The sequence below is a fragment of the Homo sapiens genome, chromosome 13 (genome assembly GCF_000001405.40).
Source record: "Homo sapiens chromosome 13, GRCh38.p14 Primary Assembly".
Lineage (NCBI taxonomy): Eukaryota > Metazoa > Chordata > Mammalia > Primates > Hominidae > Homo > Homo sapiens.
This window is the reverse complement of record NC_000013.11, coordinates 74,156,201-74,172,096: the sequence shown is the minus strand read 5'-3', so window position 1 is coordinate 74,172,096 and position 15,896 is coordinate 74,156,201. Positions and strand designations below refer to the sequence as shown.

The following is a 15,896-nucleotide window of genomic DNA, read 5'->3' as shown; positions in this document are numbered from 1 at the left end:
AGTTCTCCTTGTAGCTGAAACATATATTTGATAGCCATTTGGCTGGGGTCAATGGTATAGTGCTTGATTATGGACTGAAGTAATGTCAGAATAAAACCTACTGTCTTAGCCTCATTAGAATGGTGGGCCAATTATCAGAAGTTATGCTCACTCTGAGAGTAAACAACTTCATTACAAGCCCTTCAACATGGAGGGAATTGAGAATTCTCCCTCAGGTTCTATTATACACTAACTATATTGCTTTGGACAAATAAATAGCAACAGAAATAATTCTTTGCAGATGTGGGTGGCTTACATGGTATTTTAAGATCCAGTGTTTGTTTTTTTGTATTTTGTGGGAGTCTTTTTAGCAGCTGAACATTTCCTACAAATGTTTCTGAAGTTACTGGAGACAATTTTCTTTCCATTCCATTTCATTATACTCTACTTCCACCTTTCAATTATTGTGAATATGTAATGATGAAAATAACTACTATAAATAATACATTGACTTTTTATATCATCTTTCCAACAAAGAGAAAAATTCATGCTGAGCTGCAGGGAGAACCGGGTGGCAGCTGCTGCAATGCCTCCACAGGCAAAGATGTATAGACTGTTTGGGAGGAAGCGGTTTTCCCTCCTATTTAGAATGAGATGGGAGGGAATGTGTTTAGCAGCTAAATTGAAGTTCCAGAGTCCCTCCGCTCACTGCCTACTTTTTTAAACATGCCCAGTCTCCTAACTGGATGTGTGGAACGTCTGAGAATGCCAAGAGCAGCCTTCCTTTGTGTTTCCTTTTTAGGAGCTTAAGGACCCTCAAGAAGATAGTGGAGGTAACAGTGCACCAGACTTGGGCAGAAAATGTGATAGTTTCACTCTTTGAGCAAGGCATTAATTCAGTAAAATCTTAACTCCCCTATTCTCAGGAGATGGATCCTTCTGGAAACAACATGGGATTTGGCATCAGGAGACCTGGTTTGAAGGCCCAGCTTTGTCGATTACGAGCTTTATAATTTGCTCATGTAACTTCACCTATCTCTAAAACAAGGTACTGGCTGGGCATTGTGGGTCACACCTGTAATCCCAGAACTTTGGGAGGCAGAGGCAGGAAGATCACCTGAGGTCAGGAGTTCGAGACCAGCCTGGCCAACATGGTGAAAGCACATCTCTACTAAAAATGCAAAAATTTGCCGGGCATGGTGGCTCACACCTGCAATCCCAGCTATTTGGGAGGCTGAGGCAGGAGAACCACTTGAACCCAGGAGGCAAAGGCAGCAGTGAGCCGAGATTGCCCCACTGCACTCCAGCCTGAGTGACAGAGTGAGACTCCGTCTCAAAAATAAAATAAAATAAGGTACTAGGAACCAAATTATTCATTCATTTATTTATTGGCTCTCTCATACCACCCTTTTTCAAACATGTGAAGCAGATTAGGAAAATTTGTATATGCAATAATCATCTGAGGCTGATGAAACAGAAATAGAAAACCAGAACAAAGAAAGAGAGAAAGCATGCTAACTACAAAGATTGATATAATGGCCAAACATACTCATTGTATTAGAATCTGAGGTTCCTAGAAGCCAGGGAATGCAGGGCAAAACAAGGGTACATATATGTGGTTTACATTAAGGAGAATGAATATCAGTTCCTTTGAGGAAGGATAGTATATTTCTGGTATTGTATTCTTAAAGAAGTTGAAAATTTATAACGATAATAATGCCCAATTCCCAAGATTGTTAAGTGTGTTAAATATATAAAAGCCTTTATAAATTGTAAGCTATTATTTTAACAGCTAATAATAGTGATATGTAAATATTAATTAAATATATTTCCGGACACTGACATTGAAAGCAGAGAGCAGAATGTTAACATTTTAATTATTTCCCATGAAAACCATTTTTATAATATACTCTATGCTTTCTATAATGTACTTTCTTCTTCTTGCGCAGATCATATAGGGCGTAATTACGCTTTTAGAAGGGATTTGAGAGTTCATCATCATAAATATCAATGGTTGTGGTTTGCAGTGTCTATAGGTGTAAATGTGGATGTTAAAAAATTATGTGCTGTATAAGGATGAAGGCAAAGGACTATAGCAGTGGATCTGCCACTTGCTTTCTAGAAAAAAAAATGGCAATATTTGTTTGCTTTTAAACAATTTGACTCTCATAAAGGTGGAGTGAAAAATGTGCAGCTGTTGACCCCTTGGGCAGTGTAACACAGCTGCTTTTCTGTAAAACTAATTAGCAAGCCTGAAGTTGAAGCAAGCAGCCTTCTCCCAAGTGGCTTTCTCACCCTCCAGACAATCTTCATGTTCATGGTGTCTCTTCCTCCTCAACGCCATTCAAGGCATTATCTTTTGTTTCTGCATCATAACTCAATGATCCAGGGGCATTTTCTTGTCAGCTTATAGTTCCTCTTTTACTTAATTTACACAGTATGAGGATGGGATATGTAAAAGGGATATACTTCAATATTTCAAAAAGTTATCCAAGGGCAAAGAGTGGTAGCTTATTTCTAAGCCTATCAGCAATATTAATAACATCTACCAGTTGCATATCATTTTAAAAGCTTACCGAATGCTTCTTTATACATAGATTTATTTAATCATCACAATTGCTCTCTGTATTAGTTATTATTCTCTCCATTTTACAAATAGAATAAGATATACCTGGATTTTAATTCTAGCTCTGCAATTGTTTAATATTTTTTATGGATCAATGTCTTCATCTATAAAACAGGAATAAAATAACTACAAAAATGAGATCACATTTGTGACGTACTTTTCACAATGTTAGTGTTAGATGGTGAAAAGTAGATACATAATAATAGTGATTATTATTTTATTATCTGAACAGAACTCTTGCAGCCACAAATAACATCATAAATTGCATATTCTAAATATTATAATATCATTGAAAGTCATAGCCATATTCTATTAAAATACTTTCTTGGGTAATATTATTTTCTTAATAATACTTTCGTCCATAATTAGTCAATAACATGGATTTTTTTTTAAAGTTCCCAAACACTAACCCATTTCCTGAGAATAAACTATACAATCTAAGACTCTTGCTTTGAAGCTACCAAAAGGTAACTAAATCATTAAAAGCATTGCTGTCTCCAGCCACGGCTGGTTTGTACTCTCTGCACAGCCAGGAAACGCAAGGCAGCAACAATACTCCACAAATATGAATTTCAATCCCTAATACTTTCACATTATAGGAACTTGTAACATTAGTGCACAAAAGCTTTTCTTCTTTGATTCTTCCCAAAGGCATCCGATTATCTTCTAAGTATCTTCTGGATTAGAATTGCCAAAATAACCCACCTTCTTGAAGCTGGTAAACTGTTTATAGGTGATTTATCTGAACAAAAGCCACAAACATTCTTCAGCAGCCTCCTAACTCACTCACTCTTTGCCACCCGTTATTTCCATTTCTAATAGCATGCCTCATTTTAAATTGCCAGCGATAGCCTTGAGAAGGCTCACACACTGCAGTCACTGTGTTTGCTGAATATAACCCAGCCTTTTCAGCCAGCACTAGGTCAGACTTGGGGAACGATTTGATCTTTTCACCAAGAGGCACATGGTCTCTGTGTCGAATATCACCAGTGGACTATTTCACAAGTTGTTGCACCCAGGTTGGCATGAGGACTGGGCAGAAGTCAAAGCTCAGAGTCAGTGTTAGGCACACGCAAGTAAACATTGACAGCCAAGCACTCCTGTGCCAAAAGAAAGTTGTAATATGGAGAGGGAGATAAGACATGGAGCCAGAGTCCAGTTAGGGGTCAGAGGACAGGAGCAGGCTGCAGAGCAGCTGAAGGGGGTGTCCCCTTGCTAAAGCTGTGCATATTGGGTCCCCTGTGAGAAGACGGGCAAAGAATGGCTCACAGATACCATTTAACACAGCCAGAGATGCAAAGAATTCAAACAGCCACCGTTTCAAAGCCTTGATGGGTGATCAGGTAAATACTGCTACAATTCATTGGCTTAAAGCCAGTTCATATAATGATAGTTACCTCAATTTATATAGGAAATGAAAGATGCACGCTGTTTTTGTTATAATCCCTCCAACTAATTTTGGAAAATTTTGAATTCTAATAGATTTCTTGTAAAAATGTACCAGTTGGGAACAATATAAGGATTTTAGCCAATTTGTCTAAACATTCTTCCACTTTAATTTCATATTTTTAAGACATGCTCATGATAACTTTAGTGTCTTGCATTCTTTAATGTATACTTTTATAAACTATATGCATGTATTAAGTAAATTAACAAGTACCCTGTTTGCTCCCATTTAATGAGGCATTGCTGTTTTGATAATAAGAAAGAAAAGACCTGTTATGATTTTACGATGTAGACATCAGGAACAATGAAATGCAATGGAGGATTGAATTCAGCAGAGGATTAAATTAAACACGAGATTAAGTATAAAACCACAGTACCTGGCATATGTTAGCTACTTGGTTGATATTAGCTCCTTTTAGAGAAATGAGAGATTCATTTCAGTACCAAATTGACGGGCTTAATGTTTGAAATACCTCAGACTCACCAGATCTTTGCTAACGTTTCATTTCACTTTGAATCCCATCAAAATTTTTATGATGTGGAGAGGAGGTGGGAAAGTAGATTTTTAAAAATATTTCTCTTTAGAACCAAACTGTTCCAGTTTATTTTATTTTCTCCCTAAATCCAGTTAGAAACAGCGTCTAGGAAAAGGAGCTATTTCCACTTGACCTTATATTGGTTCCCTTACACCTAATACTAAACAGCTATTCTTCTGTCCTATCCCCTTTGACCTCTAGAAGCAAAAAAGTGAGTTATACCAGATGTTCCAACGCTTTCCTCTCCCCATAGAACCTGCTAGACACATGGAAGCTAGTTAAATTATGCTTTAATGCATTCTTTGCTTGAGCATCTCTATATGCCTTAGCTGGACAGATAAAGAGGCAAAGAATAAAATGAAAATAAACAAGATACAGAGTCAAAGTGTGTGAATGTAAAAGTAGAGACTAGAATTTATTAGAATGAAAGAGTTCAAGGTGAGCAGAGAGAAGGATCAATACATAGCACTAGTTTTGTGTAGGAAGAAAATATGGTTTTGTTTGTCTACACTTGCTTCTGCATGATTACAAAGGCACAATATCAGTCACAAATATTTCTGAAGACAGCGAGAGAACAGAGAAAACCAAAGTGTGCGTCTTGGGTGAAGGAAGATGATAGAAGCCTGGGTGATATAAATCAGTGAGATAACTCAGCTTCAGTGGGAGAAGAGCTAATTATTTGAGCATATATTTGAAAGAGGTTAAAGAAGGTGCAGAAGAATACCAATGAACTACTGTAAGCATCAAATGTGTGGCGCTGTGTATTTAATATTAGAACAAGTAGAGGTTGAGTCATAGTCTAGTAGACAAAGAAAAGTAGGGGGGAAATCCATGCAGAAATAGGATTAAAGAGAAAATAAGTAATAAAAATACATGTAGATAGGGGAAAATATAAAAAATGACATCGGGAGAACTTATATGTCGGTTTTCTAATGGGAGTGAGCTACTTAAGTAGGAGTAATCATTCCACTCTTCAGTATCTACTTCTGGCAATCATTTGTTAGTTGCAGTCTTACACATGATTTTACTGGAAGCTTTCAGTCTCTGAATCATCCTTAGATAGAGCATTCCATTTGTTATCTTTTAGGGTGTCTTTTAGGTCTTAAAAAGCAGGTCTTGGCCAGGCACAGTGGATCGTGCCTATAATCCCAGCACTTTGGAATGCCAAGGCAGCAAATCACCTTGAGCCCAGGAGTTTGAGACCTCCCTAGGCAACATGGCAAAACCCTGTCTGTGCAAAAAATGCAAAAATTAGCTGAGCATTGTGGCAAGCATTTGCAGTCCCAGCTACTCGGGGGCTGAGGTGGCAGGATCACCTGAGCCTGGGAAGTCAAGGCTGCAGTAAGCTGGGATCGCGCCACTGCTCTCCACCTTGGGCCATGGGAGTGAGGCCCTATCTCAAAAAAAAAAAAAAAAAAAAAAGGTGTTTATGCATTAGTTCAAAATCCTGTGCAATCGATCCATCCTGAACTAACAACCAGCAATTAAACACTTTCTCCAGATTTTATACATAATAGATCTCATAGATGTAACAAGTCTTTCTGTGAGTTGACCATTCAGTAGTCATTATATCTTTCCTCCCTGCAAACAGAAACTAGATTTTGCAATGGGCAGAGGTCCTCTAACCTCAGGCAATGTGGGATCCTAACATAGCCCCAAGGAATGAGATATGATTGGTCTAGGCCATTCATAATAATCTCATTCTCTTCTGTGAATGGTTGGTCCAGAGGTGGCATGTGAAGGAGTTGTAGCTAATGAGACATCAGGGAAACCTGGCATTTCCCTTCCTCCTCCAAAAGAATACAGTAGTAGTTTATCCCCTCCTGTCTGTGATGTTGATGTGAAGATTTAAACCTGGTGATGTGGCAGTTATCTTGCAACCACGGAACAAGTGCAACTATGAAAATATGAGCCCGGAAGTGGTGGCTCACTCCTGTAATTCCAGCACTCTGGGAGGCTGAGGTGAGTAGATCAGTTGAGGGTGGGAGTTTAAGACCAGCCTGGCCAACACGGTGAAACCCCATCTCTACTAAAAGTACAAAAATTAGCTGGGCATGGTGGCAGGCACCTGTAATCCCAGCTACTTGGGAGGCTGAGGTGGGAGGATCACTTGAACTAGGAGGTGAGGCTGCAGTGAGTCAAGATTGCGCTACTGCACTCTAGCCTTGGTGACAGAGCAAGACTCCATCTCAAAAAAAAAAAAAAAAAAAGAAAAGAAAATATGAAAAGCCCACTGAGGATGACAAAGTTGAAGGATGAAAAGAGTCAGGTTCCTTGATGATTCCATTTTTTAAAACTTTTTAATTTTTAATTTTTATGGGTACACTGAAGGTGTATATATTTATGGGGTACATGAGATATTTTGATACATGCATACAATGTGTAGGAATCACATCAGGGTAAATGGGGTATCCATCACCTCAGGCATTTATCATTTCTTTGTGTTACAAACATTCTAGTTATCCTCAGTTATTTTCAAATGTACAGTAAATTATTGTTGACTGTAGTCACCCTGTTGTGCTATCAAATACTAGATTTTATTCATTCTATCTAACTATATTTCTGTACACATTAACCACCCCTACTCTCCACTACCCTCCCCAGCCTCTGGTAACCATCATTCTACTCTCTATCTCCATCAGTTCAATTGTTTTCATTTGTAGCTCCCACAAATGAATGAGAATATGTGAAGTTTGTCTTTTGGTGCCTGGCTTATTTCCCTTAACATAATATCCTCCAGTTCCACTGGATGATCCCATTTTATTGCTGAGGCTATATAAGCAACTGCCAGCTTCCAGGCATATTACAGGTATAAGGCACTATTTAGTTGGATTTTCTCTTATTTGAACCCAAAAGCATATAGTCTTTCAATCACATCAGGGCCAGGCCTTGAACCTATGATCTTCACTGAGTCTTTTACACTTCAAAAGAACATACATCTCAGGAATTCAAGAAACTATTTAAATGAAACATCTTGAACTAACATTTTAAAAATAATTTAGTGCATTCTTTTTTTGTCACAAATCCAGTTACATTAAGCATGACCAGTTGTTCTACCTACTTTCATGTGTTAACACTTTCTACTGGGGTAATATAAAAAAGAATAAACAAGAAAATTAAAATATGACTAATTTGCAGTAAATGCACAAATATTAGAATAAATATAAGGATTTAAAAATAAAATTTCCATATTGACTTTGATTAATCATTTTAACTAAAATGTATTCAGAAATATGTAAAGTCATAGCTTCTTAAAAAGCAAAAAAAGCCATAAATATGTTTTTATTTTATCTTGGGAAGAAAACAGAAGGGTTAAATGATCTGTCTGTGATCATTTGACTAGACAGTGACAAACATGACTAGAATACAGTTCTTTCAAACCAAAGGTTTTTCCACTCTATTATACTGACTGCCAAATGGAAACATAGAAACTGTCATAATTATTAGAATCTTTTCACTAGAAAGCAATGGCCAGATATACCTTTCCTGAAATTTACCTGCGTCATCTTCAATTATTCTCTTATTATTTTCTGTCCTTATTCTTATGCATTGTACTGATATTTCTTCTTTCTTTACTTTTTCTTTCTTATTCTGTCACTATTTCTTTTTTTTTAATTTTTAAATTATTTTTAAAATTTTTGTGGGTACATAGTAGGTGTATATATATATACGGGGTGCACAAGATGTTTTGATACAGACATGCAATGTGAAATAAGCACATCATGGAGAATGAGGTATCCACATCCCCTCAAGTATTTATCCTTTGAGTTACAAACAATCCAATTACATTCTTTAAGTTATTTTGAAATATGCAATTAAGTTATTATTGACTATAGTCACCCTATTGTGCTGTCAAATGGTAGGTCTTACTTCTCCTTTTCATTTTTTGTACCCATTAACCATCCCCACCTTCCCTCCAACCCCCACAACCCTTCCCAGTCTCTGTTAACTATCTTTCTACTCTCTAGTTCAATTGATTTGATTTTCAGATCCCACAAATAAGTGAAAACATGAGATGTTTGTCTTTCTGTGCCTGGCTTATTTCACTTAAGGTAATGATCTCCAGTTCCATCCATGTTGCTGCAAATGATTGGATTTCATTCTTTTCTTATGGCTGAATAGTACTTCATTGTGTATATATATCACATTTTCTTTATCCATTCATCTGTTGATAAACAGATATGATTCCATATCTTAGCTATTGTAAACATTACTGCAACAAATATAGGAGTGCAGATATCTCTTTGATATACTGATTTTCTTTCTTTTGGGTGTATACCCAGCAGTGGGATTTCTGAATCATATGGTAGCTCAATTTTTAGGTTTTTGAGGAACCTCCAAACTGCTCTCCATAGTAGTTGTACTAATTTGCATTCCCACCAACAGCGTACAGGGGTAACCTTTTCTCACTATTTCATTTGTTTTCTCTCTTTCTATAGCCTCTACCTTCCCTTTTCTCTCCTTCAGATTCCCTGTTTTTATTTTACTAATTCCTTTCACTTTTATCTCCATTCTTCTACCAAATAATCCACTTTCTCTTCTTAACATAAACTCACTGGACTTGAGTACCAATCATTTGTTCTTTTTATTGTTGTTTTTGCTTGTTTTTTCTTTGATGTAATTTATTTTCATTTGTAATCCCTTTTCTTGCATACACTTTTAAAAGTGCACATGCTACCTTCTCATTTATTGTTTTATTCCATATCTCCGGCTGTTTTCCAAAGTTAGCAGAGCAGTAATAATCATAAGAACCTGGGCTGGGCACTTTAACCAATGCCTCTGCATTTCACAGTTGACCCACAAACCTCTGCCAGGGGTGGAAAATAAAAACTATGTACATGCTGAGGAGGTGGAAGAGAATAAACAGGCAGAATCCCAAGAGGTAAGAGAGCAACGAAGGAGAGAAATACAAGAGAAGAGAAAATAAGTAGCATTAAATCCTACTATTTCAGAGCCATATTATTTTACACACACACAGACAAAAGAAAATGGGCAAGTTTTCAGGTTGTTGGGATTTACTCCTGGAGGAAGGCACAGGGAACCCCCAAATTTTAAGCATCTGGCCTAATTTAAGAATCAAATTGAAAGAAGTCAGTGGTAGAGCAGAAACTGAGTTAAAGGTTGAGATAAAAGAGACATTGGTCAAAGTCTCTTCAATGTTGATCAATCTGTGTTGTTCAACAAGAGGCTTCCTTTGTAGTGTCATTCATCCGTATGTTTGATGAGGAGGAGGACAGTAGGCAAAGAACAGGGAGAATGAGAACACAAGTTTTCTGAGCTGAATAGCTGCCTTGAACCCATCATTCACGTCTTTTACAAAAAAGGTCCCATGGTCCTAACTTTGCTGCAACTCCAGGTTTTGTGGACTTGCAATTCTGTAGTTAAAACCTATCTCTTTTGGAAATAAAAGTAATATATGTGGCTGCCACTTTTCCAGTGTTCCATTCCACCATGGAATTTATATAACTTATTAAAATGAACTCTATCTGATAGTCTAAATATTTTCTTATAAGAGAAATTGCAAAAATGATGGAGATTTTAAAATATATTGATTTAAAATGGAGCAATTTAAGTACATCATCTCTAGATTAATCAGAGAATGAAAAAACTGATTTGAGCATTTCATATGATTCCCCCTGACCCCTGAGTCTATCATGAGCACTTATCCATGTGGATTTGCTTACGTATATGGAGCATTCAAGAAGAAAAGAATTGAGGCGGAATGAAAATTAATCTCTACTCAATTGCTAAATAATTAAACATGCAGCCCATATTTCCACAGGCCACCTGAGGCTGGGTCTGAAATTGAGGACTATGGGTTATATATTAGCTTCCTAGGGCTGCTGTAACAAATCACCACAAACTCGGTGGCTTAAAACAACTGTTGATTCTCTGCATCTGGAGGCCAGAAGTATGAAATCAGAGCATTAACAGGGTTATTCTTTCTGGAGGTTCTGAGGGAGAATCTGTTCCATGTCTTCCTCCAGTTTCCGGTGGCTTCTGGCACCCCGTGGCATACCTTGGCTTGGAGCTGCATCACTCTAACTTCTGTCTTCATCTCCACATGGCCTTCTTCCCCTGTGCCTCTGTATGTGTCCAAATCTCCCTCTCTTTTTCCCTGCAAAGGCACCAGGCTTTAAATTTAGGGCCCACCCTAAATTCAGGATTATTTTATCTTAGAACCTTAACTAATTACATCTGCAAAGACCCTATTTTCAAATAAGGTCACATTCTGGGGTTCCAGGTGGATGTAAATTTTGGGAGGACACTATAAAACCCATTACAGGTGATAACAGTTTTTTAAAATATGACTCAGCACAGATCAACAAATTTGCTAAAACTCTAACTAAACCACCTTTCTCAAATCCCCCTAGTCCAGTGTGGGAAGCCTTCCCAGAATGGATTCAAACACTCCCTTGTCAATTAAAAAAAAAAAAAAAAGACTCTCCTGAATGTCCAAAACCAATCTCCGTGTTCTCAATCTCCATCCTATGGACACCTCCTGCATGAACAGCTTAGCCTCTTGGTTATGAGGTCTCCAGTGTTCCCACCTTGGCTACTCCTCTGCTCTGCTCTGATGGCTACCTTGCTGAAGAGGGTGAAGAGGACCTATTCCCATCTCTTGCCTATCAGAACTTTTTTAATTCCCACAAAACAACGAGCCTTGTGTACTTGCACTTCAACTTAACTAGAGCAGGCCAAACCCGGCTCAAATTGAAGTACTCTGGGTCAGCTACCCAGAATTCTTCCTCCCTGCTAACCTCATGCAGTATGTCCCATTCTCTGTCTCCCTTAACCTCCACAGGTTTCTTCCCTTTCTGGATTATGTGCTTTTAAGTTTCTTAAGGAGTTGAACTCTTTTTCTGGATTTCTGAAGGTGAGGCTACAAGAAAGAAGCCAAAACCCCAGGGGTGCCATATTTTCTCCCCCTGTGGCTCATTTGATACTTACATAAAGACACTTTATTTGTTCTATGCTGTCTGTCCTCTGGAAGTGCCTGGATCTGTATTAGGCTGAGACGTTCCCTGAAAACACAGAAACTTCACTGTAGATGAGTTTTCTTATTCTCTTCTCTCTGCAACAAAAAATATACAAAGGATATATCCATTTGTTTATTTTCAATTAATATCTAGTTACAAGATGATACAAATAAGATGAATAAAACAGACCTGGTAGATGGATATTTTAGAAGGAGTGCCATTCAACGTTAGTGTATCAATGAGGTCTCCATGGGTTCAGAATTTCAGTACACAGAACATGGGAACACATATACCATTACACCACAGTCGTACACTAAAGAAGAAATTATATGACTTACTTTTATAAATTCTGAAATAGGATGTTCAGTTCTCTCTGAGGAGTTTATTCACACTAACCAAACTGCAAAGTATTCATAAGCCAAATTGCCAATTTATTAATTTACCTAGAAAAAAGATAACCACCAGGTAGACCATGATACTCACTTGGACTAGTTGGAAAAGTACCTTTTTTTTTTTTTTTTTTTTTTTGAGACAAGGTCTCCCTCTGTCACACAGGCTGGAGTGTAGTGATGTGATCTTGGCTCACTGCATCATTGACCTCTTGGGCCCAAGTGATTATCCCACCTCAGCCTCCTAAGTAGCTGGGACACAGACATGCAGTTTTTGTATTTTTGGTAGAGACAGGGTTTCGCCATGTTGCCCAGGCTGGTCTCGAGCTCCTGAGCTCAGGCAATCTGCCCACCTCAGTTTCCCAAAATACTGGGATTACAGGAATAAGCAACCATGCCCGGCTGAAAAAGAACTTTTTGATAGAAATGTCTACCTGAAAAAAAAATTTTAGAGCAGAGACTATCTTGCAATTACTGAATAAGAGTGAAAGAAATTGAATGACCTTAAGGTATACAGCAACTTGTCTCCTTTGGGGTTACATGTGCTAAACAGACAAAAATATTTCTCAGTTACTCCAGAGCAGGCTAAAGTAATAATGAAATATGTGCATTATCCAGTTGTCAATTTTCAAACTTCTTTAGCATGGGACAACATTTTCTGTGACTAAAATTGTACTGTTAGAATTTTCAGCATTATTATACACTTCCTTTATTTATTTTTCTTACATTTTTAGATCAGGTCATCCTGATAGGAATTTGGGAAGATATGATTCTCTTACCTGTGATACACTTGTATGACTTGTCTTGGTATGAAATTATATTTTTTGAAAAAACACCCTTTCCAAAAGATGGCACTCATTCATGTGAAGTTGTTATTTCTGAAGGGTGCACCCTTTTCTGAAGGGTGTCCCCTGTGTGTTTGCCACACAGGGTTATATGGGCACATGTGGGCACAGGGATCTCCAGTGAACTTAACCCCTAGAAGGAACATGACCTAGTGGGACATGCAAAAGTCTATGATTCAGGATATCTGGGTTCTGATCTTAGCTCTGCCTCAAGGTTCCTGAGGTGTAGGAAGATCATGCCTGTTTTCTCATATTTACATACAGAGAAGTGGGGTAGATGATTTTCCAGTCCCTCTGACTAGCACATAGTAGGCGCACATGCTCATTGAACCAATGAATCAATGTAGGAGCTCTTTTAACTTTAAAAACATTTACAAAATCTTTGTGAATTAAAATCCTGATTGATGGGTGACTTTTTACTAGTTCATTTTTTCTCTAACAGTAGTTTTCCATTTAGTCATTCAGTGAACACTCATTGCAAACGACCTATGTGTCAGGCAAGGTCTCTGACCTGAAAGTTTACCCCACCCTATTAATGTTAAGCATTTTCTTCTTCATATTCTTATGTATTTATATATTTTATCCCCACCCCACATTACCCAACACTCTATATCTACATATGGCCTTTTTATTCTAATAATCTAATAGTCTCTTTCACGACCAACTTCCTCTGTCCATGTTTTCCTTTCCCATGATTACCCCAAGATTTCTTTCTCTCTGGGACTCACTTGTTTTGATCCCTTTCTTTCTCAAGAAGCCGGCCAACTGCTTCCTAATCCAAGTTCAGAAGTTCAGGAAAAGTAAAAAGCAGATTCTAACAAGAAAGCAAGAGTGTGAGTGAAGGATCCCCGTGGCCTTCTGTTCACCTAATCCCAGGCCATGAATTGCCCACTTCTCTAACACCGGCAGGTCACTCTGGCTTCCCCAATCCTGGCGGCAGATTGCTCCAAGAATTTGAGCAACTCCCAGCTCTCCTCCATCTTACACCCCCCTTTAAGTCCCCCACAGGGTGGCCAGGCAGGAATCCAGCCAAACATCCTGCAGCCGCACATGTGTCTTCACTCACAGTCCAGCCCACGCAGCCTTCACAGGTCGCTGCCCTCACGCGGACCTATGCGGACCACCCACAGGGCCTTCCCCTGAAGCCCTGAACATGCCTCCCTTGCTCTCTCTTCTCTCAGTCAAGCCCAAACATGCCCTGTCTACACCCCACTTATTTCCACCAATGTCACTATGAAGGAAACTTTAAAGAGAAACATGGTTTTAAGCCATAATATTTTAAATTTGCGTGAGAATAAGCTAATGAAGTGCAGCAGAAGCAGCAACAACTCACACACATTGAATACAAGACTGAGGAGGAGAGATACTCTGCGAGGTAAATGGGAGTTGCAGAGAAGAGGGCTGGTTGTGAGGGCACCTGATGAATGCCATGGGAGCAGCAGGATGTCTAAGGACTCAGCAGGTATCTGGTCCCAATTAATCAATACCCAAGAAAAGCAAAAGCCCAACAGTAAATTCCTTGTGCTTAACTGTTTTCTCTGACCCAAAAAATTGGCCAATCTTAGGCTGTTAACATTCTCTCTTCAGCATTTGAGGACAGAAGGAAGCTTAATGACTGGTCTGGGGTACATCCCAGGATTTTGTAATGGATCCCCAGGAAGCCTAAGGGATCAGGAAAAATATGGCTGTAAGGTGACCACCTCCAGTGATCACTTTGAGCTCCCCTTCTTTCACTCTAGTATTTGTGTCTACTATGTTAAGAGCTGCTGCTCTTAGGGTGGGTGAGCATAGCCAACCTCCCTCCCTTACCCTACCAAAGTTAAACCGTTAAGTCTAGGGTAACATGCTTTTTAAAATACAGCAATGATTTTCCTATGTAATCAGCTCTTGATCAGTTACATAAATTGATTTCACAGGTAACTGTAGCCCTGCTATGGGACCTTTGGCTATAGGATCAGGTAAACCAGTGTTTGACCATTTAAGCCCTGTAAGTTTCATTTTAGAAATCTGTCATAAAGAGATACTTGGAAAAAATAAAAATACATGTACAAGAGTATTTATTACAGCAATTTATATATTTGTAAACTTTGCTAAATAAAGCAAATATCTCTTGATGGGTAAATTACTGTACCTCTATATAATAGAAAATTAGGCAGCCACTAAATGTTTATATCTTTATTCGTTGATATAGAAAGTCCCCTGTGATTCATTGTTAAATGCAAAAGGAAAGCGGTAAAACAACATATATGATCTCATTTATGTTAAGTTTATACTGTCATACCCTCACACACACATACAGAATAAAATGTTAACCAAAGTGTCTCTGTCAAATTTCCAAAGTGAAGAGATACCTGCACTCCTATGTTCGTTGCAGCACTGTTTACAATAGCTAAGACTTGAAAGCAACCTGTCCATCAACTGATGAACAGATAAAGAAAACGTGGTACATATACATGATGGAATACTATTCAGTCATATTGAAAAAAGAGTGAGATACAGTCATTTGCAACAACATGGGTGGAACTGGAGATCATTATGTTAAGTGAAATAAGCCAGGTACAGAAAGACAAATATCACATGTTCTCACTTATTTGTGGGATCTAAAAATCAATTGAATTGGTGAACATAGAGAGTAGAAGGATTGTTACCAGACATTGGGAAGGAAAGTGGGGGGTTTGGGGGTGGGCGTGGGGATGGCTAATGGGTCTCAAAAAAGAAATAGAAAGAATGAATAAGATCTACTATTTGATAGCACAATAAGGTGGCTGTAGTCAATAATGTGTGTATTTTAAAATAAATAATGTAATTGGATTGTTTGTAACTCAAAGGATAAATGCTTGAGGGGATGGATACCTCATTCTCCATCATGTGCTTATTGGTTGACTCAGAGCCTACATTTTATACCATAAACTGTAGTATAGAAAAACATACATGATGATCACAGAGCAGGTTCCTTCATCCCAAAGGAGATAAGAGAGGAATCCAATGGCTGGAATGAATTGGTTAGAAAGAAACATAACTAGACCATACAGAGGCCTCTGAAAAGTGCCCAGAACTCTGTACCAATTTGGAATAAAAATTATGAAGAGAGATCG

The 15,896-nt window shown here is 38.2% G+C and overlaps 1 protein-coding gene across 3 annotated transcripts in view, besides 1 other annotated feature; it reads left to right on the top strand.

Annotated features, from left to right (window-relative positions):
- KLF12 (KLF transcription factor 12) overlaps positions 1-15,896 on the top strand; it is a 619,957-nt gene that overhangs the window by 133,949 nt on the left and 470,112 nt on the right. Inside the window, exon 1 of one of the 3 annotated variants that reach the window (XM_011534909.3) lies at positions 3,771-3,948. The exons of the other annotated variants lie outside the window; for them this stretch is intronic. The gene's annotated coding sequence lies outside the window, so the exon portion shown is untranslated. Of the gene's footprint in view, positions 1-3,770; positions 3,949-15,896 lie in introns of those variants that run through there. 3 annotated transcript variants of the gene reach the window in all.
- Positions 13,941-14,050: an enhancer, noted in NCBI's record as "active region_7820". NCBI's record gives its function as "activates an Ori minimal core promoter by ATAC-STARR-seq in GM12878 lymphoblastoid cells {active_cell/tissue: GM12878}" and the evidence as "EXISTENCE:reporter gene assay evidence [ECO:0000049][PMID:35858748]".